Source organism: Homo sapiens, chromosome 9 (assembly GCF_000001405.40).
Source record: "Homo sapiens chromosome 9, GRCh38.p14 Primary Assembly".
Lineage (NCBI taxonomy): Eukaryota > Metazoa > Chordata > Mammalia > Primates > Hominidae > Homo > Homo sapiens.
The window spans coordinates 93,822,891-93,849,694 of record NC_000009.12 but is presented as its reverse complement, the minus strand read 5'-3'; the positions used below and the strand labels follow the sequence as shown (position 1 = coordinate 93,849,694).

General features: G+C 42.1%; 1 long non-coding RNA gene across 2 annotated transcripts in view, besides 1 other annotated feature; it reads right to left on the bottom strand.

The window, feature by feature from the left end:
* The window catches only part of LOC101928014 (uncharacterized), a 49,991-nt gene that overhangs the window by 8,645 nt on the left and 14,542 nt on the right, over positions 1 to 26,804 (bottom strand). The window contains exon 2 of one of the 2 annotated variants that reach the window (NR_188448.1): positions 23,180 to 23,984. This is a non-coding gene — a long non-coding RNA (uncharacterized LOC101928014). Of the gene's footprint in view, positions 1 to 4,412; positions 4,529 to 23,179; positions 23,985 to 26,804 lie in introns of both variants that reach the window. The other variant, NR_188449.1, reaches the window with a different exon arrangement.
* Positions 19,588 to 19,757: an enhancer, noted in NCBI's record as "experimental_109955 CRE fragment used in MPRA reporter constructs". NCBI's record gives its function as "activates a minimal promoter by MPRAs in K562 erythroleukemia cells, with activity observed for both the introgressed and non-introgressed 9:96592305 variant alleles {active_cell/tissue: K562}" and the evidence as "EXISTENCE:reporter gene assay evidence [ECO:0000049][PMID:34662402]".

The following is a 26,804-nucleotide window of genomic DNA, read 5'->3' as shown; positions in this document are numbered from 1 at the left end:
TTCCCAGCTACTCAGGAGGCTGAGGCAGGAGAATCACTTGAACCCAGGAGGCAGAGGTTGCAGTGAGCTGAGATTGCGCCACTGCCCTCCAGCCCGGCGACAGAGTGAGATTCCATCTCAAAAAACAAACAAACAAACAAAACAAAACAAAAAAACAAAGAAACACACACACAATGAGATACTACTATACATCTATCAGCTGAATAGACTCCATTGGGTATATGTACCACATTTTCTTTATCCATTCATCTGTTGATGGACACATAGCTTGCTTTCAAATCTTGGCTATTGCGAACATTGCTACAATAAACATGGGAGTACAGATATCTCTTTGATATACTGATTTCCTTTCTTTTGGGTCTATACTTAGCAGTGGGATTGCTGGATCATATGGTAGCTCTTTTTTTAGTTTTTTGAGGAATCTTCAAACTGTTCTCCATAGTGGTTGTATTAATTTACATTCCCACCAACAGCATATGGGGGTTCCCTTTTCTCCACATTCTTACCAGCATTTGCTATTGTACATTTTTTTGGATAAAAGCCATTTTAACTGGGGTGAGATGATACCTCATTGCATTTGATTTGCATTTCTCTGATGATCAACAATGTTGAGCACCTTTTCATATACCTGTTTTCCATTTGTGTCTTCTTTTGAGAAATGTCTCTTCAGATCTTTTGCCCATTTTAAATCAGATTATTCTATGTTTTCCTCTTGAGTTGTTTGAGTTGTTTAATTCTGGTTATTAATTCCTTGTCAGATTACATATCTATTAGAATGGCTAAAATGAAAGAGGCTGACGATATGAATTGTTGGTAAGAATGAGGAGAAACTAGAACCGGTGGGAATGTAACAGGGTACAAACACTTACAAAAACAATTTGTCAGTTTACTGAGAAGCTATAGAGGGATGTTAGAATATGAATCTTTGCAGACTCACTTCCAGTGAAAAAAGCAAAACTAGACCAGGTATTGTGGCACATGCCTGAATTCCCAGCTACTTGGGAGGCTGAGGCAGGAGGATCATTTGAGCCCAGGAATTCAGGCCTGTAGTGCACTATGATTGCACCTGTGAATAGCCACTTTACTCCAGCCTGGCAACATTGCAAAACCCCATCACAAAAAAAAAGGAAGACTGTCAACAGCTATTTTTTAAAAAAACATTTCTTTAATAAGTCATTAAAAGTCTCTGGAAATTGTCCTGCAGCATACAGCAAATAAAGAAATATTTATTCAAGAAAACATATTAAAACTCAGTAAGAATAGCAAGAATCTGTGGCATTGAGCCATGGCCCATTCCCTCCCCGTGTCCCCCCACCCCAGCTTCCTCTCTATTCAGCTTCACAGAAGCTCCACTCTGAGTGAGTGTGATCAAAATATGGTGCTCCCTCTCCCTCTTCCTCCCAACCAAGTCATTCCATGCCTTACTGAGAAGGGCAGACCACTAGCATTTCTAATTCCTTTCAATTCCAAGTTTAAGAGTTCCTGGTGAATGTGACTGAGAGATACGGAGCTTCCTTCCTCTACCGATAGGACAGAAGCTCTACCCTAGCACATCAGGCCAAGGATACTGGCACCCTAACCACCGTTGCCTCAGCTGAAGGCAGAGTGTTTACACCAAAACAGGCAAGCAATGAAGACAGAGGCCATGGCCCATTCAGGGCTCAGAGACTGTGCCAGGGGAGAGGCGGCACATAGAAAAAGCTCTCCACAAAGGACCTGACATTATTTGAAAGAGACTGGAGAAGTTTAAGCCTAAGGATGCTCTCAAAATCAATAGTTGCTCTTAATTAGGAGGAACAAGCTAAACCATAGGCCATCTAGGTCACCAGGGAGAATCTGGGAAAGAGATAGCTAAGAAGACTTCCACTGGGTACAGAATAAACCTTAAAGACTGAGCTCACAATCTAGCCCTCTCCAAATTTGATTGGATTGGGCTGCTCAGAAATTAATGTTTCAGGGCATTGTCAAAAAAGACATAAAGCAATCAGTTGGTAATTTGTGGAGTCTAAAGGATGGAGAGTAATACCAAATGAAACAGACAGCTTAACAGAGAGATCAGAAAAGAGACAAAGAGAGTGTGCTAAAACCACCCTCATCCCAAGGTAACTGTGTGCATGCCCCAGGCTGTGCCTTTTGACGAGCAACACCAAAGACTTCATTCTGTGTGAAATGGACTTCACTAAGATAGTCTAGCCAAGTCATAAAACACATAAGCAAACAAAATTAAGCTTCAGAGAGGGAGAAGGGCAATCAGTCTCCAAAGTTGCTATATTACCAGAAATGTCCTCATTTCCAACAAAATATTATAAGACATGCAAAAAAACAGGAACATGGACCCATACACAGGAAAAATGTAGGCAACAGAAACTGCCTGTGAGAAACTCCAGATGTTATACTTAATAGACAAAGTCTTCAAAGTATGCGTTATGAATATGTTTGGAAAACTAAAGGAAGCCATGCTTAAAGAAATTATAAAAGATAGGAAGATCATGTTTCATCAAATGGAGAATATTAATAGAGATAGGAACTATAAAAAAACAAAAGTTCTGTGGTTTAAAAGTGTAATAAATAAAATGAAAAATTCATTAGAGGGGCTCAACAGTAGATTTTAACCAGCAAAAGAAATACACAGTGAACTTAAAAATAGATCAATAGAGACCATGCAATCTGAAGAACAGAGTAAAAATAGACTGAAAAAAATGAGCAGAGCCTCAGAGTAATGTGGGACACCTTTAGACACACAAACACACATGTAACAGAAATACTGGGAGGAGAGAAGAAATGAACAGAAATAATATTAGATGAAATAATGGCTGAGGCCAGGCATGGTGGCTCATGTCTGTAATCCCAGCACGTTGGGAGGCCAAGGCAGACAGATCACCTGAGGTCAGGAGTTCGAGACCAGCCTGGCCAACATGGTGAAACCTCATCTCTACTAAAAAAACAAAAACAAAAACAAAAATTAGCCAGGCATGATGGTGGGCACCTGTAATCCCAGCTACTCAGGAGGCTGAGGCAGGAGACTCGCTTGACCCCAGGAGGCAGAGGTTGCAGTGAGATGAGATCACACCACTGCACGCCAGCCTGGATGACAGAGCGAGACTGTCTCAAAAAAAAAAAAAAATTGTAGCTGAAAACTTCCAATTGCTGAAAAACATTAATCTGCATATCCATGAAGCTCAGCAAAGTCTGATTAGGATGAATACAAAGACAGCCACACCCAAACACATAATAAAAATGCTGAAAGCCAAAACCAAAGATAAAATCTTGACAGCAACAAGAAAAAATTACATGCAAGGGAACCCCAATAAGATGAACAGCTGACTGCTTAGTAGTATGACACACTTAAAGTGCTCAAAGAAAAATATTAACCATGAGTCTTATATTCAGTAAATGTATCTTTCAAAAATGAAGGTAAAATACAACCATTCCCAGATAAACAAAACTTGAGATAATTTACTGCTGTCAGGTTCACCTTATAAGAAATATTAAAGGAAATCAGTCAGGCTCAAAGCAAGTAAACCCAGATGAAAATTTGAACCCACATTAAAAAAAGAGCCCTGTTAAAGGTAGTTATGCAATTATTAATAAATAAACAAATGCATATTTTCTTCTTTCTTCTCTTACCTGATTTTAAAAGCAATTGTATGAAACAGAATGTATATATGTATACATATGTATATACATGTATACATATGTATGACACTAACATATAGGTATTGTTAGGCCTATACATGTGACATGTTTGACAATAACAGCACAAAGGAGTGGGTAGGTACTGGAGTAAGGAAATGATCCCAGATGGTAACTCAAAACCACAGGAACCAATAAAGAGAACAAGAAATGATAAATAAGAAGGCAAATATAATAAGCTAAAAAATATTTACTTGCTCTCTATACAGAAGTGTCCATATATAAAGTAGCAATTATAACAGTGTATTGGTAGGTTTTTGACATATTCTGATGTAATATGTATAACAATAGTAGCACAAAAAGGAAAAGAGGACATAGAGTTTTCTAGAAGTAACATTTCTATAGTTCACTGAAATTAAATTAGAAGAACTCTAAGTAGATTCTGATAAATTGAGACTCTATGGAAGCCCTAGACCAACAACCAAAGAAATGACTCAGAAAATATAGAGATTTGGAGTACTTCTGGTTCCAAAATCATGGTGTAGAAGTAAGCTGGCTTCACCTCCTCCCACAGAAAACTAAAAACAAATAGACAGCATGGACATTATCACCAGCAATATCCCAGAACTCAAATATCAGGAGAATATATGTGGTTCCCTGGGCCACAGAGAAGTGAACAAACTCTGAGCAGATAGTAAGAAAATTGGATTTTCATATCCACAATGTCCCTCCCCACAATCCATCCAGCACCTAGCCATAGAAAATTTTCCCCAACTCACAGTTGGAAAAATACTGGAAAAAATAAGATCAAGGTGGTAAACCAACTTCCTCATCCTCTTGGGTTCACTGGCAGGAGACCCATTTCTGTTTCAACCATGGGAAGTATCAGGAGTGCCTGAAAGAAGAAAGATCACTGAGGATAGCCAGAGACAAAAGAGGGAGGCTAGACTACTAGCCCCAGCCTTGGAAACTTAACCCTGTAACTTGATCAAAGGAGACACCAAATCACAGTGGCTGTTCACCAGCACCATGCTGTAGGAGGTTCATCCCACAGGTCCCCTGGGCATGAGCCTATAGCCAGCAGTGCCACACTACTGAGTCATCCCCTTTGAGACCTCCCCTATTTAAGACCAGTGACACTAATTGTCTATTAGAACTGAGGCAAACCTGGGCTTAAGGCACCATCTAGTACAAAGAAGGAGGCAGAAACCTAGCAGAAAAAAAAAGAAAGAAAATCAATGGGTAAACTACAAAGAATCTCTGAGGAAACATATCCAATAAACAACAAAACGAGGCTGATTAGACTGGGACAAATAACTAAGCCTTCAATGCAAAGATATAGGCATACATCAACAAGAAACAACAGCAAACAGGGACCCATGATTTCTCTAGATTTACAAAGCAAGAAATCAGAAACTGACCCTAATGAGATGGCAATATGTGAACTCTCTGATCAAAAATTCAAAATAGGCCAGGTACAGTGGCTCACCCCTATAATCTCAGCACTTTGGGAGACCAAAGTGGGAAGATCACTTGAACCCAGGAATTTGAGACCAGCCTGGGCAACATGGTGAGACTTGTCTCTACAAAAAATTTTTAAAAATTAGCTGAATGTGGTGACACATACCTGTGATTCCAGCTGCTCAGAAGTCTAAGGTAGAAGGATTGCTTAAGCCTGCAAAGTCAAGGATAGAGTGAGCCATGATCATGCCACTGCACTGCAACCTGGGTGACAGAGCAAGACCCAAATAAAACTACTCCAATGCATAATCAAACCCTCAAAGGTCAAGGACAAAGAGAGGATCCAAAAAGTAACAAGAGAAAATAAGCAAATAACATACAAAGAAAACCCAATTTGTCTGGCAACAGATTTCTCAATAGGAACCATATAGGCCAGGAGGGAGTGGTATAACATTTTCAAAGTGCTGAAAGAAAAAAAATAACTGTCAGCTAATAATACTATATCTAGCAAAGCTGTCCTTCAAGTATGAAGGAAAGATAAAGTCGTCCTCAGACAAACAAAAACAGAATTCACCACCATCAGATCCATCTTCCAAGAAATGCTAATGAGAGTTCTTCAATTTGAAAGAAGAAAAACACTAACGAACAGAATGAAAACATTTCGATGTATAAAACTCACTTGTAAAACTAAGTATACAGACAAACCCAGAATACTCTAATACTCTAATTGTGGTGTGCAATCCACTCTTAACTCTAGTATAAAGCCCAAAAGACAAATCTATCAAAAACAACAATAGCTATAGAAACCTGTTAAGAGATAGGCGTCATATGTAAATTGAGACAACATAAAGTCAAAACGTTGAGAGAATGGAGTTAATTTGTAGAGTTTTAAAAAATGTTTTATTTGTTTCTATTCTTCTCTGTGTTCTCTCTCTCTCTCTCTCTCTCTCTCTCTCTCGACAGGGTCTTATTCTGGCCCCCAGGCTGCAGTGCAGTGGTATGATCATGACTCACTGCAGCTTTAAATTCCAGGGCTCAAGTGATCCTCCTACTTCAACCTCCCAAGTAGCTGGATTACAGGCACACATCACCATGCCTGGCTAATTTTTTAAAAAACATTTTTTGTAGAGACAGGGTCTCACTGTGTTGCCCAGACTGGTCTCAAACTTCTGGACTTAAACAATCCTCCCACCTCAGACTTCCAAAGTATTGAGATTACAGGCATGAACCACTGTGCACAGCAGTTGTCATCTCTTCAAAATAATTTGTTATATATCTATGATTTTTTGTAAGCTTCATGGTAACCATAACGCAAAAACCTATAATAGATTCACTAAAAATAAAAAAAGAATTAAAACATAATGCCAAAGAATATCACTTAACCACGAAGGAAGACTGTAGGAAAGGAAGAAAGGATGCGGAGTTACAAAACAACCAGAAAACAAGCAACAAAATGGCAACAATAAGTCCACATTTAATCAATAATAACATTGAATGTCAACAGACTCAATTCTCCAATTAAAAGGCATAGTGTGGCTGAATGGATAAAGAAATAATACCTAACTATATGCTACCTACAAGAAACTCACCTCATATATGAAAACACACATAGACTGAAAGTGAAGGAGTGGGAAAAGATATTTTATACTAACCAAAAATGCTACACATGCTAACCAAAAAAGAGGAGGAGTATCTACAGTTATATTAGGTTGAATAGAGTACAAATCAGAGACTGTAAAAAGGGACTAAGAAGGTCACCATATGATGATAAAGGGGTCAATTAAGTAAGATAATATAACAATTATAATTATATATGCACCCCATTAACTGTAGCTTCCAAGTATATAAAGCAAACATTAGTAGATCTAAAGGAAGAGAAGGATTGCAATACAATAATGGTAGAGGATTTTAACACCCTACTCTTAGTAATGGGCCAATTATCCAGACAGATAATTCGCAAAGAAACATCTAAGTTAAAAAAATACAGGATATCAATGAAATGAAAAGTTGATTTTTTGAAAAGATAAACAAAATCAACAAAATTTTAGCTAGACTAAAAAAGAGAGAAAGAAGTCTAAATAAATAAAATCAGAAACAAAAAAGAACTCATAACAACTGAGACCACAGAATTACAAAGAATCATTAGAGGCTACTATAAACAACTATATGCCAACAAATTGGAAAACCTAGAAGAAATGGATAATTTCCTGGACACATACAATCTACTAAGATTGAACCATGAAGAAATAGAAAACCTCAACAAACCGAGAATAAGAAACAACATTGAAGATGTGATAAAAAGTCTCGTATTAGAGAAAAGCCCAGGACCTGATGGCTTTACTGCTGAATTCTACCAAACATTTAAAGAAGAACTAATACCCTCTTTTTCTATTGATTGGAATAGTTTCAGAAGGAATGGTACCAGCTCCTCCTTGTACCTCTGGTAGAATTCGGCTGTGAATCCATCTGGTCCTGGATTTTTTTTGGTTGGTAAGCTATTAATTATTGCCTCAATTTCAGAGCGTGTTATTGGTCTATTCAGAGATTCAACTTCTTCCTGGTTTAGTCTTGGGAGGGTGTATGGGTTGAGGAATTTATCCATTTCTTCTAGATTTTCTAGTTTATTTGTGTAGGTGTTTATAGTATTCTCCGATGGCAGTTTGTATTTCTGTGGGATCGGCTTCTGAAACTATTCCAATCAATAGAAAAAGATGGAATCCTCCCTAACTCATTTTATGAGGCCAGCATCATCCTGATACCAAAGCCTGGCAGAGACACAACAAAAAAAGAGAATTTTAGACCAATATCCTTGATGAACATTGATGCAAATATCCTCAATAAAATACTGGCAAACTGAATCCAGCAGCACATCAACAAGCTTATCCACCATGATCAAGTGGGCTTCATCCCTGGGATGCAAGGCTGGTTCAACATACGAAAATCAATAAATGTACTCCAGTATATAAACAGAACCAAAGACAAAAACCACATGATTATCTCAATAGATGCAGAAAAGGCCTTTGACAAAATTCAACAACCCTTCATGCTAAAAACTCTCAATAAATTAGGTATTGATGGGATGTACCTCAAAATAATAAGAGCTATCTATGACAAACCCACAGCCAATATCATACTGAATGGACAAAAACTGGAAGCACTCCCTTTGAAAGCTGGCATAAGACAGGGATGCCCTCTCTCACCGCTCCTGTTCAACATAGTGTTGGAAGTTCTGGCCGGGGCAATCAGGCAGGAGAAGGAAATAAAGGGTATTCAATTAGGAAAAGAGGAAGTCAAATTGTCCCTGTTTGCAGATGACATGATTGTATATCTAGAAAACCCCATTGTCTCAGCCCAAAATCCCCTTAAGCTGATAAGCAACTTCGGCAAAGTCTCAGGATACAAAATCAATGTGCAAAAATCACAAGCATTCTTATACACCAATAACAGACAAACAGAGAGCCAAATCATGAATGAACTCCCATTCACAATTGCTTCAAAGAGAATAAAATACCTAGGAATCCAACTTACAAGGGATGTGAAGGACCTCTTCAAGGAGAACTAGAAACCACTGCTCAATGAAATAAAAGAGGATACAAACAAATGGAAGAGTATTCCATGCTGATGGGTAGGAAGAATCAATATTGTGAAAATGGCCATACTGCCCAAGGTAATTTATAGATTCAATGCCATCCCCATCAAGGTACCAATGACTTTCTTCACAGAATTGGAAAAAACTACTTTAAAGTTCATATGGAACCAAAAAAAGAGCCCACATTGCCAAGTCAATCCTAAGCCAAAAGAACAAAGCTGGAGGCATCACCCTACCTGACTTCAAACTATACTACAAGGCTACAGTAACCAAAACAGCATAGTACTGGTACCAAAATAGAGATATAGACCAATGGAACAGAACAGAGCCCTCAGAAATAGTGCCGCATATCTACAACTATCTGATCTATGACAAACCTGACAAAAACAAGCAATGGGGAAAGGATTCCCTATTTAATAAATGGGGCTGGGAAAACTGGCTAGCCATATGTAGAAAGCTGAAACTGGATCCCTTCCTTACACCTTATACAAAAATTAATTCAAGATGGATTAAATACTTAAACGTTAGACCTCAAGCCATAAAAACCCTAGAAGAAAACCTAGGCATTACCATTCAGGACATAGGCGTGGGCAAGGACTTCATGTCTAAAACACCAAAAGCAATGGCAACAAAAGCCAAAATTGACAAATGGGATCTAATTAAACTAAAGAGCTTCTGCACAGCAAAAGAAACTACCATCAGAGTGAACAGGCAACCTATAGAATGGGAGAAAATTTTTGCAAGCTACTCATCTGACAAAGGGCTAATATCCAGAATCTACAATTAACTCAAACAAATTTACAAGAAAAAAACAAACAACCCCATCAAAAAGTGGGTGAAGGATATGAACAGACACATCTCAAAAGAAGACATTTATGCAGCCAAAAAACACATGAAAAAATGCTCATCATCCCTGGCCATCAGAGAAATGCAAATCAAAACCACAATGAGATACCATCTCACACCAGTTAGAATGGCGATCATTAAAAAGTCAGGAAACAACAGGTGCTGGAGAGGATGTGGAGAAATAGGAACACTTTTACACTGTTGGTGGGACTGTAAGCTAGTTCATTGCATTGTGGAAGTCAGTGTGGTGATTCCTCAGGGATCTAGAACTAGAAATGCCATTTGACCCAGACATCCCATTACCGTGTATATACCCAAAGGATTATAAATCATGCTGCTATAAAGACACATGAACACGTATGTTTATTGCAGCACTATTGACAATAGCAAAGACTTGGAACCAACCCAAATGTCCAACAATGATAGACTGGATTAAGAAAATGTGGCACATATACACCATGAAATACTATGCAGCCATAAAAAATGATGAGTTCATGTCCTTTGTAGGGACATGGATGAAGCTGGAAACCATCATTCTCAGCAAACTATCGCAAGGACAAAAAACCAAACACCACATGTTCTCACTCATAGGTGGGAATTGAACAATGAGAACACATGGACACAGGAAAGGGAACATCACACACCGAGAACTGTTGTGGCGTGAGGGGAGGGGTGAGGGATGGCATTAGGAGATATACCTAATGCTAAATGACGAGTTAATGGGTGCAGCACACCAACATGGCACATGTATACATATGTAACAAACCTGCACATTGTGCACATGTACCCTAAAACTTAAATTATAATAATAATAAAATTTAAATAAAAAAATCAAAAAATCAGAAAAAAGAAGCCCAAATTTCAGCATCATGCAATATACCCATGAAACAAATCTGCACATGTGCCCTATGAGTCTAAAAATAAATTAAATTTTTAAATTAAAAAAAAAAGAACTAACACCAATTCTACTCAAACTCATCAAAAAATTAAACAGGAGGGAATACTTCCAAACTAATTCTATGAGGCCAGAATAAGACAATACAACATAAAAGAACATAACAGGTCAATGTCACTGATGGATATGGATGCAAAAATTCTCAACAAAATACTAGCAAACCAAATTCAACAACACATTAAAAAGATTGTTCACCATGATCAAGTGGGATTTATCCTAGGTATGCAAGAATGGTTTAACATATTCAAATCAATAAGCATGTTACATCACATTAACAAAACCAAGAATAAAAGCCATATGATCATTTCAATGATGCTGAAAAAGCATTCAATAAGATTCAGCATCCCTTTATGTTAAATTTTTATGCTAAAAAGTTAAGAATTTTTATGTTAAAAACTCTCAACAAACTGGGTATTAAAGGCACATATTACAAAATAATAAAGGCCATATATGACAAACCCACAGCTAACCTCATACTGAATAGGGAAAAATTGAAAGCCTTTCCTCTAAGATTTGGAACAAGGCAGAGTCCCACTTTCACCACTTTTATCCAACATAATACTTGAAGTCCCAGAGCAATTAGCTAAAAGAAATATAGAAAAGAGACCAAATTAGAAAGTAAGAAGTCAAGTTAGCCTTGTTCACAGATGACATGATCTTATACTTAGAAAAACCTAAAGACTCCACCAAAAAACTTCTAGGATTGATAAACAAATTCAGTAAAGCTGTAGGATATAAAATCAATATACAAAAATTTGTAGAACTTATATACGCTAACAGTGAACAATCTGAAAAGGAAATTAAGAAAGCAACTCTACTTACAGTAGCTACAAAAATATAAAATACATAGGAATCAATTTAACCAAAGAAGTGAAAGATCTATATAAGGAAATCTATAAAACACTGATGAAGGAAATTGGAGAGGACACACACACACACACACACACACATAAACACACAAATTGAAAGATATTCCATACTCAGGGACTGCAAGTATTAATATTGTTAAAATGACAATGCACTCAAAGCAACCTACAGATTCAATGCAATCCCTATAAAATAACATTGACATACTTCACAGAAATTTTTTAAATACTAAAATGTACATGGAGCCACATCTATTTGATGAAGAAATTTTGAGCAAAAAGAACAAAGCTGGAGGCATCATATGGCTTTTGAAACATATTACAATCAACATGGTAGTATATATAGCAAAATATACCGCCAAATCAGCATGGTACTGGCATTTAAAAAAGACACATAGACCAATGGAACAGCGTAGAGAACCCACATATACGTCTATTATTTTTAACAAAGGCACAAAGAACATACACTGCGGAAGGGGCAGCCTCGTCCATAAATGGTTCTGGAAAACTGGATAATCATGCAGAAGAATGAAACTAGACCTCTCTCAAATCAAATCAAAATGGATTAAACGCTTAAACCTAAGACCTGAAACTAGGAAACTACTAGAAGAAAACACTGGGGAACTGCTCCAGGACATTGGTCTGGGCAAAGATTTTTGTGTGTGTAAGATCTCAAAAGCACAATCAAAGCAAAAATAGGCAAATGGGATTACATCAAGCTAAAAAGCTCTGCACAGGAAAGGAAACAATCAACAAAGTGTAAAGACAACCTACAAAATGGAAGAAAATATTTGCAAACTACCCATCAGACAAGAAATTAATAACCGGAATATATAAGGAGCTCAAACAACTCAGTAGCAAAAAACTCCAAATAATCCAATTTTAAAATGGGCCAAATATCTGAAGAGATATTTCTCAAAAGGAGTCATACAAATGACCAAAAGGTATATGAAGAAAATGCTCAACTTCACTGCCAGAGAAATTCAAATAAAAATCACAGTGAGAGATCATTTCACCCCAGCTAAAATGGCTTTTATAAAGAAGACAGGGAATAACAGATGCTGGTGAGAATGTAGAGAAAGGAGAGCCCTTCTACACTGTTGGCGGGAATGTAAATTAGTACAGCCACTATGGAAAACTGTATGAAGGTTTCTCAAAAAACTAAAAATGGAACTATCACATGATCCAGCAATTTCACTACTGGGTATATATCCAAAAGAAATGAAATTAATATATCACAGAGACATATGAACTCCCACATTTATTGTAGCACTGTTCACAGTAGCCAAAATATGGAATTGACCTAAGTGCCCATTGGTGGATGAATGGATAAAGAAAATGTGGTGTATATATACGCAATGGAATATATTCAGCCATTAAAAAAAATTTCAGTCATTTGCAGCAACATGGATGGAACTGGAGATCACTATGTTAAGTGAAATAAGCCAAGTACAGAAAGACAAATGTCACATGTTCTCACTCATACATGGGAGTTTAAAAAAGTGGGTCTCATAAAGATAAAAAGTACATTGGTGATTATCAGAGACCGGGAAGGTGGAGGTGGGAGAAAAGGGTTTAATTAATGAGTCTAAATATACAATTTGACAGAAGAAAGAAGATCTAATGTTTGACAGTTGGTAGGGTGGCTGTAGTTTCTAATAATCTATTGCATATTTCAAAATAACTAGAAGAGAATAATTCAAATGTTTCTAGCATAATGAAAGAATAAATATTCAAGGTGGTGAATATCCCAATTATACTAAATTCATCTTTATAAATTATATAAATGTATTAATTTATCACATATATCCTGAAAATATGTATATCTATTATGTGACAACAAATTTTTTTAATAAAGGAAAAATCATTAAAGGAATTAAAATGTTATACTATAAAATATTAACTCCACACAAAAGAAAGAAATCAAGGAGGAAAAGAGGAACAAAATAAAGGAGACATATAGTAAACAAAAATGAAATGTCAGATGTAAGTCCAACAATATCAATAACAACATTAACTTAGAATGGATTAAACAATCCAATCAAAAAGCAGAATTGTCATACTGAATAAAGCACATAATCCAATTACATGTTGGCTTTAGGAGATATGTTTGATTCAAAGATACAAATAGGTTGAAAGTGAAAGGATGGAAAAGATATATCATGCATATAACAACCATAAGAAAGCTGGAGTGGCTATATTAATACCATATAAAATAGCTTTAATTTTTTTTCCCTGAAGATAAATAGGGATATTTTATAATGATAAAAGTGTCAGTCAATCAGGAAGTTGTAACAATTATAAACATATGTGCACCTAACAACAGAGCTCTGTGATATACGAAGCAAACCCTAACAGAATTGAAAGTGGAAATAGACAATTCAACAATAACAATTAGAAACTTCAATACTCTATATAATGGATAGAACAACTTGACAAAAGGTCAACAAGGAAATAGAAGACTTGAACAGCAATATACACAAACTAGACTTAACAGATATGTATAGAACACTGTGCCTAACAAGAATCACATTATTCTCAAGCACAAATGAAACATTCTACAGGACAGACAACAGGGCAGATCACCAAGTAAGCCTAAATAAATTTAAAATAATTGAAATTTACAGGACCTCCAATTACAATGGAGTGAAATTGAAAACTAATAACAAAAAGAAATTTGGGAAATTCATAAATATGTGAGAATTAAACAACATACTATGAAATACCAATGGGTCAAAAAATCACAAAGGAAATTAGAAAAATACTTTGAGATAGGTAAAAATGAAAACACAACACATGAAAATTTCTGGAATGCAGCTAACATACTGCTTAGAGGGAGATTTACAGATGTGAATTACATGGAATAAAAATAAAGATCTCAAATCAATATCCTTCCACCTTAAGAACCTGGAATAAGAAGTGCAAACTGAGCCCAAAGTAAGCAGCAGAAAGGAAATAATGATTACAGTGAAAATTAATGAATCAGAGAGTACAAAAATAATAGAGAAAATCAACTAAATCAAGCATTGGTTCTCAAAAAAAATTAACAAAATTAACAGACAACAAAATTTACACTTAGTCGTGGTACAGAATCCTTTTTACACTAAGGAGTAGTGTAAATTCTTTTTTACACTAAGGACTAGTATAAATCATTTTTACACTAAGGACTACATCTAGACTGACTAAGAAAAAAAGAGATGACTCAAAATTCCAAAATCAGAAGTGAAATAGGAGACATAACTACTGACTTTACAGAAATAAACACAACTACAAAGGAATACTATGAAAAACTGTGTGCCAAAAATTATATAACTTAGATGAAATGGACAAATTCCTAGAAAAAAGAGCAACTGAAGCTGACATGAGAAGAAATAGAAAATCTGAATATACTTATACAAGTAAAGAGTTTGGCTTAGTAATAAAAAAAAAAAAACTTCTGCCAAAAAAGCCCAAGACCAAATGGCTTCACTAGCTAATTCTACCAAGCACTTAAAGAAGAATTAATATTATTTTTTCACAAACTCTTGCAAAAATAAAAGAGGTTGGAGCACTTTCCACCCCATTCTATGAGACCAGTATTGCCCTTATTTCAAAACTAGACAGATACTCCACAGGAAAACCATATTTCATTCATTCTCACTTTTAATGAATATAGACACCAAAAAGTTCAACAAAACACTATCAAATAGAATCCAGCAATGAACAAAAAGAATTATATACTATGATCAAATGAGATCTATCTCAGGAATGCAAGGTTGCCTTATCATCTGAAAATCAGTTAAAGTGATACACTACATCAACAGAATGAAGGAAAAACCCATACTTTCATCTCAATTGATGAAAAAAAGACAGTTGACAAAATCTAACACCTTTTTATGATAAAAACACTGAACAAACCGAGAATAGAAGGAAACCAATGAAAAACCCATGAAGTTAACTTCATATATAATAATGAAAAGCTGACTTATTTTCTCTTAAGATCAAGAAAAAAACAAGGATGTCTGTTCTCACCACTTCCGTTCAACTTTTACTGGAGGTTCTAACCAGCGAAATTAAGTAAGAAAAAAAATAAAATGTATCTAGATTGAAAAGTAAGAAATAAAATGATCTCTATTTGAAGAAGAAATGAACTTTTATACATAAACTCCTAAGGAATTCGCTAAAAAAACTATTATTAGAACTAATAAACAAGTTCAACACAGTTGCAGAATATAGGATCGATATATAAAAATCAAATATATTTCTAAACAACATTTACAATAACATGAACAAGAATAAAATACTTAAGAATAAGTTTAACAAAAGAAGTGCAAAACTTTTACTTTCAAAACTACAAAATATTGTTGAAAGAAATTAAAGAAGACCTAAATAAATGGAAAAACATCCCATATTCATCCCATATTCATGGACAAAAGACTTACTATTGTCACGAACGCAATGTTATCCAAAATGATGTGCAGATTCAATGCAATCCCTATCAAAATTTCAGCTGATTTATTTTTGGAAATTGATAAGCTGACCCTAAAATTTATAAAGAAATTCAAAGGACCTGAAATTGTCAAAATAATCTTGGAAAAAGAACAAAGTTGGAACAGTCATTCTTTTCCTATTTCAAAACTTACTACAAAGCAATAGTGATCAAGACATTTTGGCAGTGGCATAGGAAAGACCTTTATTTAAATGGAATAGAACTATGAGTCCAGAAATGAGCTCTCACTTTTATCGTCAATTGATTTATGATGAGGGTAGCCAGATGATTCAATGGAGGAAGAAAAATCTTCTTAGCAAATGGTACTAGGACAACTGAATATCCACATGCAAAAGAATGAAGGAGTATCCCTACCTCACACCATATACCAAAATTACCTCAAAATGGATCAAAGACTTAAATGTAAAAGCTAAAACTATATGTCTTAGAAGAAAACACAGGTGTAGATCTTCAGAATCTTAAATGGGAAATAGTTTCTTAGATTGACATCAAAAGCACAAGCAGCAGAAAAAAAATAGACTGAACATCATCAAAATTAAAACTTTTTACACTTCAAAAGACACCATCAAGAAAGTAAAAAAAAACACAAAGTGAGATAAAATATTTGCAAATCGTATATCTTATAAGAGATTTGCATCTAGAATATAAAAAAAATTACTACGAAATAACAAAAAGACAAGTAACCCAATCTATAGATGGGCAAAGGGTCTAAAATGACATTTCTTTAAGGAAGATATACAATAGATATTAAGAATATAAAAAGATGTTTGCTATCATTAGTCAACAGGCAAATGCCAGTCAAAATCATGAGCTATACCACTTCACATCCACTAAAATGACCAGAATAAAAAAGACAATAGCAAGTATGTAGAGAAATTATAACCCTTATGCACAGTTGGTGGGAATGCAAAATTGTGCAATTGCCTTGGAAAACTGTTTAGCAGTTCCTCAAGATATTACAGTTTCCATATTACCCAGCAATTATATACCTAGGTATACACTCAAGAGAAATGAAGACTTGCATATGAATGTTCAGAGAAACTATTTAATAACCAGAATTAATAGCCCCAAACTGGAACCAACTCAAGTATCCTTTAGCAGGTGAATGATCAAACTACTGTGTGGTGTATTCACACCATGGAATCCTACTCAGCAGTAAAAAAGAATAAAGTATTTATACATGTGACAGCATGGATAAATTTCCATGCAATTAGGCTGAGTGAAAAAAAGCTACACATGAAAAATTTTGGGGGGTGATTTATATGTTCAGTATTTTCATTGTGGTGAGGGTTCCACAGATAGATAGATAGATAGATAGATAGATAGATAGATAGATAGATAGATAGATGATAGATAGATAGATAGACACAAACACATACACATATGTACAGAAGCATATCAATTTTTATTAAGAAAAAGACAAATTACAGAATGGAAGAGAGTTATTTGTAAACCACATATCTGATAAGGGTTTAATATCCAGAATATATAAAAACCCTTACAACTCAACAACAAAAAGACAATCCAATTAAATAATGGGCAAATAGCCAACAAGACATGAAAAGATGCTTGACATCATTAGCCATTAGAAAAATGCAAATCAAAACCAGAATGAGATACCACTTTACACTTACTAGGATGGCTATAACTAAAAAAAAACAGAAAGTAGCAAGTGTTGACAAAGAGGTGATGAAATGGAACCCTCATACATGCGTGGTGAGAATGTAAAATGGTACCAACACCATGGAAAAGTTTTGAAGTTCCTCAAACAACTAAACATAGAGTTATCATATAACCCAGCAATTTCAGTCCTAGCTATATACCTAAAAGAATTGACAACAGGAACTTGAACAGATACTTGTTTGCCAGTGGTTTATGTAGCATTATTCACAATTAGCCAAAGGGTGGAAACAACCCACCCTTAGAGGAATGTGGTTTATCCATACGATGGAATATTATTCCACAATAAAAAGGAAGGAAATTCTGATACATACTACAGCATAGATGAACTTTGAAAACATGCTAAGTGGAATAAGCCAGACACAAAAGGACACATACTCTGATTCCACTTACATTAAATATCTATAATAGGCAAAATCATAGAGACAAAAATTAGAGTTTACTAGGGGCTAGAGGGGAGGGGAAATGGAGAGTTACTGTTTCATGGGTACAGTTTCTGTTTGGGGTGATGGTTGCACAACAATGTGTATTACTTAATGTCACTGAATTATACACTTAAAACAGTTAAGATGGCAAATTTTGTGTTATATATACTCTACCACAATTTAAAAAATAATTAATAATATACCAAAAATCACTGAATTTTACACTTTAAATGGGTGAATTGTACGGTATGTGAATTATATCTCAAAAAAGCTTTTCTAAGAACTTATCAACTTTCATACTTTACTTGTTTGCATTTTACTACGTATCAGTTATACTTCAATAAAGCAGTTAACAAAATGCTGCAATGCATGACTTTGATAAAAATAAAAATTAAATCGTAAGGAAAAAATTAAATTCCAAATGCAGTCTCTTAATCATTCCAATAATACGGATTGATACAGTGCAGAAACATGCAGTCCCTCTTCATTTCCCTGCTTCCCTGAAATCCATTCATTTAAATAAGAATAGTGTGTGCCCCACTCAGCATGTGCCAGCGGGCTGTGACCTCCAGCACACCATGCCTGAGTTTATTTACACTGGTCTTAGGAGGTGAGTGCTGAGGCACTGAGATTCAAGGGACATAGATGGGACAATGGTGACTTAAGCTCAACAAGCCTTGGTTTCTTTATCCATGAAATGGGAATAATAATATCTGCTTCTAAGGATTAATGAAGGCATCTTTCCAAAAGGGTGGTGTGTGGCACATGGAAGAGGCTGCCTACACACAGCTTTGAGTAAGTGGGGGTCTGATATCCTCCCGTGAAGAACACGTCGTCCTTGCCCGGACTTCCACATCGAGGGAGGGAGGAAAGAACTCAGAAGGGAAGGGCGAGGGGAGCAGAGTGGCCTGGGATTGGTGTGGAGTCCATGTGCTTCTCAGCCCCTAAGAAGTTGTGGAGTGATGGGTGAGTGTGACTCGAGAGGGGTGGGCAGCACCTGGAGTGGGGAGCTGAATATCAGAAAACAGAGGGGCCCGAAGTGGAGACAGAGTCCCCTGGACAGTAGGCTTCTCAAAGTCCCTTTGGGCAAACGCTGGCCTCTGTCCCCAGGCCCACTGTTAGTATTTTATTCCATCCCATCCCTGCAACGTGCCTCCTATCCTCACCTGCAAGAGGCAGTGAAGCTACCTGGCAAGGGGGTGCAGAGGAGGAAGGGGCTCAAGTTGCACCCCCATCCACCCTCTTCCCAGCCCACAGGCTCTGCTACTATAGCACCCCCTTCCCGCACATTGTCCCCTCAACCAGGGAGGCTGTGCAGTGCCAGACATCCCTGGCTGGGCAGTTGGTGGCAAGGGGCTCTCTCTCTGTCCCTCGGTCTCCCCACCCCTGGGCTGTGATCTCCCCACACCTCTCCTGGCTGGGACCTAGCCATGCCCCCTGCCACCCTCCCAGATTTGTCCATCCCTCCAGGCCTTCAGTCCCCCAGGACCTAGCTCTGGACAGCCAGGCTGGGCTATGAATAGCACACAGCCCTTTTCCTTTCCAAATATAAAATGTTTGCTTTCAATCAGGGGCGTCTGGGGAAATGGAAATTATAGGATTGGAGAGTGTCCTTGGGTAAAGAAATACCTCGAATGCCGAAACCTCGCAGGGCCTCTGATTAGGGCTGGAATAATTCCTGCTCTAATATAAACAAGCCTCACTAGGCTAATGGGGGGCAGGGAGCGAGGCCGGGAAATAGGGGCATATGCCTCGTCTTTGTTCTCTTTCCTCCCAGCATGCCAGTGCAGCAGGGCCCGGGGGCCCGGGGCGTGGAGCAGCTCTGGGGGCCCCTCAGGACATCAGAAACCTTAGCTTTGTGGCGTGCTGAGTGACCACAGGCAGGTGGCTGTCCTGAGGCCTGGTGATCCCACAGGGGTGGGTTGGGATAGATGGGGCATCCATCTTAAAGGCTGTCTGGTCTAGTCCCGGCTCCTTGAACCCCTCCATGCTTCTGGGCCTTAGCCTGGCTCTGGGATTTGGAGGAGTGACCAGGGCTGAAGCCAGCAAGGCAGATGGGCTGGGGCCAGAGAGAAAAGAGGGGAGCCTGGGGAAGCGGTGCCAAGCAGAAATTTCCCAAATGGTCAGTCAGTCAACAAACATTGGTTGGCATCTTCTCGAGGCACCAGGATGTAATGGGGGTGAAAACGCTGTCCCCATCCTCAAGGGGCACAGAGTTGAGTGAAAAAATAAACACACCAACCGTAAGTGTTAGCAGCGTAGCACAGGGTGGAGGCCTGCAGAGGGAGGGCCTTGTTCCCAGGGTGGGGACAGGAGGGAGCAGCTCCCCGTGCCTTGGAGGGCTTGGCCCTCTCCTCAGCACTGTGCTGCCACCTCCTCATGGCATTCCCTGTCAAGAGCCCCCGTTAGACCAACACCTCAACTTCCCAGAGCAGGGAAAGTCCTCGCAATTACCAAAGATGTTTGATAACACCCAGCGTCAAAGCACAGACTCATTATTTGTTTTCTTTTTTGCAGAGTGAACTCTCAGGCTAACTGCTCTTGCTTGGCATCCAGTGCGAAGGTGTGCAGCCACCTCCACGCAAAGCATTCAGAGAAAGGAGGCAGGCCCAGGTGAGCACAGCTAATGAAACATAGAGATTGGGAAACTCTGGAGAGCGTTCATAAAAACTCAAAGGTCTCAAAATATGTGGTCATGTAGTTTAGGAACCTCAGAGGCCTGCAGAGGAACAGGACACGGTGGGTGTTGGGTCGCAGGGGTCGGGTGGGGGTGCCTCGTTTCAGTTCTGGCTCTCTGTCTCTGTTGCCTCAGGCAGCTCCTTCTCCATTCTAAACCTCAGTCTCTCATCTGTAAAATGGGTACAGTTGGTAAAGAAAAAGCCATCTGAGGTGATGCTAAGGAAGAAGGATCATCAGGACATTGGGGGTGAGCAGGCTGAAAGTCCTGGAGCCCCCCAGTCCACGGCGCAGGCTGGCTGCGGTGTCTTGGTCAGCACCAGCTCTCCGAGAGGCCACCCGGCTTGGCTCAATGTATACTGGAGGCCCAGACAGGTCAGGGAGGAGGCAGAGGGCTCAGCTGGTATCTTTGGAGAGAAGTGGAGGTGCCAGCAGTGTGCGCAAATCACCTTGTTTTGTCCTTGGGATAGTCTGGGGGGAAAGTTGAGAGCCCCTAGGTCTTGGGGTTGGGGGAAGCCTTGGGAACTGGGACCCACAGGTGAGGGAGGGGCTGGGAAAATGCCCCAGCTCCTCCTCCCCTGCCTCCAGGGGCTGAGCTCTGTCAGGATGAGGATGAGATCCACTGTCCAGAGCAGGAAGGAGGAGGGGAAGAGGCAGCCAGGCCCAGCGTGGGACACCTGCCCAGTCTCCCCCTGGGTGGAAAAGAGCCCTGCCAAGGCCTGCCAGGGGCTGCTGCGGACCCCTGCTGAGTGACTGAGGCGGGACTCACCCTTCACGCCCCTGTTCAGCATCTTGGGTGAAAAACTTGAGAACGTGGCAGGCTGCAGCCGCAGGCCTCAGAACCAGCAGGGCCCAGCAGGAGGAAGCCGGCACCTGGAGGAGCAGGCTTGGCCGGGGATGAGGGCAAGGGGTGGGACCCCTCCCCAGGAGGGTGGGAGCGGGAACACGCCCCAGGAATGTGATGGCAGCCTCGGCAGATGGCCCCCTGCCCGCCCGCCCGCCCTGGGCCGCCAGCGGTTCCGTATTTACACTACATTAATAATGGTTTAAACGTTCTCATAAATAGATGCTGATTAATTGGCAATCCATTTGCTGAAGCCCGGCCTGCCAGACGGTTTCCTGGAGGCCCGTTCCACATCCCTATAAACACCATCAGCGAGCAAAGCAGGCGCTAATGTACCCGGCGCCCAGCCCGCCCCCCGGCCGCCGGAGCAATTCCTCAGGCCTGAAAGGGCCACCGACCCGCAGCTGCACCGGCTGCCTGGAATTCCCGGCCTCGGCCGTGGGAGGACGACTCCAAGGGCCCCTTCGGGGCAAAAGGGTTCCACTGGGTGGCAGAGAGGGCAGAGGCACGGTGGCCCAGCAGCCGGTGCAGTGGGGCGCAGCTGGCCCCCACAGGCTGTGCTGGCAGAAGCTTGCTGGCTGAGCTTGTCCCGCCTGAGCCGGGGGCGGCTCCTCTCTGCTGCCCCCAGTGGCCTGCAGACCGCCATTGCAGTGGTCACTCTATACCACCGGGTCCAGGCCCTTGGGTCTCTAGGGATCTGGAGACCATTCTGGGACAGTGGGCTGAGTCCCTCCATGCCGGGGTGAACCAAGCCCGGGCTCATGGCTGCTTTAGGGAGCAGTCACTGCCCTTCACTGCCCGTGGGCAGTCCGGCACCTCCCTGCTCTCTCTCGGTCTCCCTGGCCTGCGTGTGCCCTCTCTTTTGTTCACCTGGCAGAGGCCTCTCTTCTGTACATTGCGAACCAGGTTGCGCCTTGTGCACAGGGTGTCGGGAGGAAGGGTACGCATTCATGCAAAAAGCAGAGCCGCTGCAACCTACCTGACCTCTTGGCCCTCCTCTACAAAGCTCCTGTCCCTTAGGGGGAGGGCTGAAGGAGGGCTCGCCCCCTGCCCCTGCGGCCCCGCCTCCCTCAGCACCTCACCAACATCAACTCTTCTCTGCGTGCCTCCTGCATCCATTTCGCAGATGGAACACTGACGCTTGACAGTCACCTGCCCAAGGTCGCCGGCTGGCAAGTGACAGTGTCAGAACTCAAATCCGGCATCTGCCCCAGGGGCCCTGACCAGGGAGTCCTGCTGCCCTAGGATGGGTTGTTGAAAGAATGAATGGGAGTGAATGAATGAATTTTACAAACCCAGGTCCAGGGAGGGAAAAGGATGGGGGAGGGGAGAGCCGAGGAGAGGGAGCCCCTCCCACCCCTTCCCTGATGATTGGTTTTTAAACCTCGGGCAGACCCAGCCCGAGTGGGGAGGTCAAAGGTGGCCACTGATGGCTGTCACTCAAGCAAAATAGCCCCGTTTTCATTTTTCACTTGGGCCCAGACCCCTCCAAACAGACAGTGATTAGGCCCTGATTGAGCCTTTCCTCTGCCTGATGACTCCCACATGTGACCCGCTCCCAAATTACATGCAAATGTTCCGCGGACGAGCTGCTGAAAGCCCCCGCCCGCCCCTGCCTCCGCCCGTACTCCCGGGAGGGGCGGCAACCCGCCCCGCGCATACCCCCTCCCCCGCAGGTGCGCGTCCAGGTTCGGGTCTGCCTGGCTTTACCTTACCTGCGTCCTCTCCGCTGCTTCCCGTGCAGGTGCGAGGCCTCGCGCACCGCAGCGCCGCCTGCCGGTGACGTCTGGCCTCCGTTTGCTCATCTGTGAAGAGGGCGCGATGATGGAGGCCGAAGGGTGCCTGTGGACTTTGGCACAGCCTGTGCGCGGTGCATTGTGTTCTCCAACCGGAACGGGAATGGTGGCGGCGGCGAAGGCCATGACTGTAATTGCTGTTAGAGTCATACAGCTGAAATGCTACGAGCACCGACTGTGAGGCCAGAGTGCTAGGCTCAGAGGAGGCGCAGCACGCAGTGCCAGCCCAGCCTGCGGCAAGTTATTGGATCTGGCTGCCCCCGATTCTCGCCGATGGAATAGGGGTCACAAGAATGCCCACCTCACAGAGGTGTGGAGAAACAGAATAAACACACTCATCTACAGTGCTTACAACGGCACCGGCCACACAGTATTACGTTTATAACTGACGCTGCGCAATTCTGGGGGCACAGCGCATATAGAGGGGACTTTGTGGGCAACAACCTGGGACGGGGCAATCATGCAGCGGGAACAGCCCCGATGTCTCACTGCCCCACGCAGTGATACCAGCAGCTGTTGTCCTGGAGTCTTCTGGGCACCAGTCTGTCCTGGAAGCACCTCTGTGGCCAGCTCCTTCATCCTCGGGTCGGTCCCGTGAGGTGGTAACACCACGATTTTCATTTTCAGAGGAGGACATTGTGGCCCAGAGAGGTTCGGCAGCTGGTCAGTGGTGGAGGTATCCTGAGGCTGACCTCACCTGCAACTTGGGAGCTGAAGCCCTGGCCTGCAGACGGCAGAGAGGACAGCTAGAGGAGGCTGCCATGGGGTCAGCCTAGAGGCCTCAGCTTATCCTAGGCCAACACCTCCTTAGATTATCCCACCTAGGCCCTCAAAGGACAGGACTCCTCTCTGCAGCATCCTAGGGGTGCAGCCGTACAGGCCCTGGTTACATGCCTCCTGTGAGGGGGAGCTCAGTCTCATGCCTGGGAGAGCACTGCAGCCCTGAGCCAGGGAAGGGAAAGGCCTTCCTATTGCACAAAGCCTCCTTAGCTTCAGGAGGCATGCTTGTCTCACTGCCTTGGGTCAATCACTATGAAAGACACACTGAACACACATACACACACATGGAGAGGACGAGGGAGAGGGAGAAAAAGTAAGAGAGAGAGGAGAGAGACCCACTCATGGACCCAGGGAGAGGTGCAGATCTGGGAGGGAGATGATCAGGGTGTGCAGTAAGTCCCCAGGGCAAAGGGCTTTCAGAGAGAGATTGGGTTGGGGATGGGAGAATTTGTGCTTTGGACTGGGGAAGAGGGGAGTGAGGCTGAGGCAGAGAGGAAGGCAGGTCTTGGAGGCAGCAGAGCTCAAGAAAGAAGGAGCAGGCAGGTGGGGGGCAGAGAGGTGGGGCCTTTGACTTCACTCATTTGAAGTGACCAAGAGCTCTTTCTGGGGACAGGCTGAGTGGGCAGAGTGAGGAGGAAGGAGATGAAGACATGAGCACAGCTGGGCTGCAGAGGGCTGTTGGGCAGGTTGTGCACTGCACACAGGAGCTCCAAGGAGTCCAGCCAGCTCCTGCTGGACACACTCAAGGTTGTAGCCTGCGGCCAAGAGGGGCATCTTCCCCTGAATCCCACAAAGGTACCCTAAGGCTAGCAGGTCCTTGGGCAGGCTCTGGGGGAAGGGAGGGCACTCGGGAAGACTGAACTGCTGGCTGGTGGGTTTGTCTGTGAATTTTGAGGTGAAAAGGACGAGGGCCTGTGCAAATACTGGTTGGGGAGCAAGTCAGGACAGAGAAGGGACCCTGTGGTGACTTGCCCTGGGTCACAGGGCCAGCAGTGACACAGGTGGGAATTGCCCCCACCCTCTAACCATGCTGGCCACCCCTGCCCCTTGCACAGTGGCCCTCCATTTCTGGGCAGGAAGCCGGCCGAGCCCCTCCCTCACCGGCAGGTGGGTGGCCCCTCATCAGCCTGATGTGGAAAGTGAAATAACTTCTCCCAATTACCCTCGAATCTGGAAACTTTTTGTGCCTCCGACATTTCCTCCAGCCTGGGAGTTAATCAGCCCCTTGGCTGTCCCCTTGCTGGGGCCGGGTGTGGGGGCACCAGGGGCAGTCGTGCCCTAGAAAATTATTTCTCATCACCAATTATTGCCCATTAGAGCTAATGGTTGCGCTTAATCACCGTACACTTATCTGGGGTTTTTTAAGCCACTGGAACAGCCTCCCCTCCACCTTCTCCCCCCAACCCAGTTCTCTCTTGAGCAAAGCTGAAGCCATTGCCAGAAATATATATTTTTTTAACCAAATCACACATCTGATACCGTTTTGTTTGAAAAATGAGCTGCCCTCCCCTTTCGTGTCTGCTGGTCACACAGCCGTGAAGTTGTGGGACAGCAATGGGACCTCTGTGGGGTGCATTCCCAAGGCCTCTGGAGGAGGTGAGACTCTTCCTCCCCAACAACTCTGCAAGGGGGAGGGGACTTAGCCCCAGTGACAGATTAGGAAACTGAGGCTTGGAGGGATGTGATGAAGGTCACCAAGGAGTGATGTGAGGCGGCATGAGTCGCCCCGCGCTCTTTCTGCTTCGGTCTAGGTGCCAGAGACGGAGCAGGAAGGCAGCCCTGGGGAATTCTCACACTGTTGGAATTGGGACCAGGTGAGTCAGGTGGAATGTGGCTCACCCACAGCAGCCCTGCTAGGCCAGGACATCAAATCAGAAATTCTTTTGAAAACATTATTCACATGTCCAACCAAGAAATGGACAGGCTCAGATGTTCCACTCTGCACACACAAAACCTTTGGCTCATGAGGGCAATTCATGATTTTCTTGGGCAGAAATCTGCTCCACAGTCTCTTTCCAAAGAGGCCAGAGCCTCTTTGAGCCTTGGTTTCCTAATCTGCAAAATGGGGCTCTGATTCCTGAAAGAGCAGGACTGCTGTGAGGACTCCAGGTGCTGCCTTGAACCTGTAGCTAGTGTAGAGAGTCAAGGAATGGGCACAGAGGGGCCTGGGAGCAGCTCCGTCCCTAGAGGGCTGGCTTGAGGAGGGCTGCAGACAGGTACCAGGGACATAGGGCTGTTGCCTACTGCCACAAGCCAGGGCCTGAGACCACACTGTCCAACAAGCTAACTTGTTCCATGGACCCTTGCTGGGAATCTGAGAGCCTCAGGCAAAGCCTTGTGGGGCCTACGGAAGTGGGTTCATTCATTCGGAAGTTCTTAAAGATCTCCAAGCTGGGCACACAGCAAGAGAAAAGACAGGAGGCCAATCCCCACTTCCAGGGCACTTAGGAATGGATCAGGGAGAGGGAGGATAAATAGATGTCAGATTAGTCACCCGGATCATTCCAGCTCAACCTACAGAAAAGGATGATGGAATGACAAGCTATTATAGAATACGATGTGGTGTGTGTATGTAAGGTCTTGAATGCATGCACACATCTTTTGTATCTGGCTCTGTCTGCTGAGAGAGCTCTGAAGCAGACACCTCAGTGGCAGTGAGCACATCCTGTACCCAGATGTTGGTCTCTAATACCATCCTTGGGAATGGGATCCAGGGCTCCTTGGAGAAATGGCTGATTCCAAACTTGGGACAGGATCAATACAT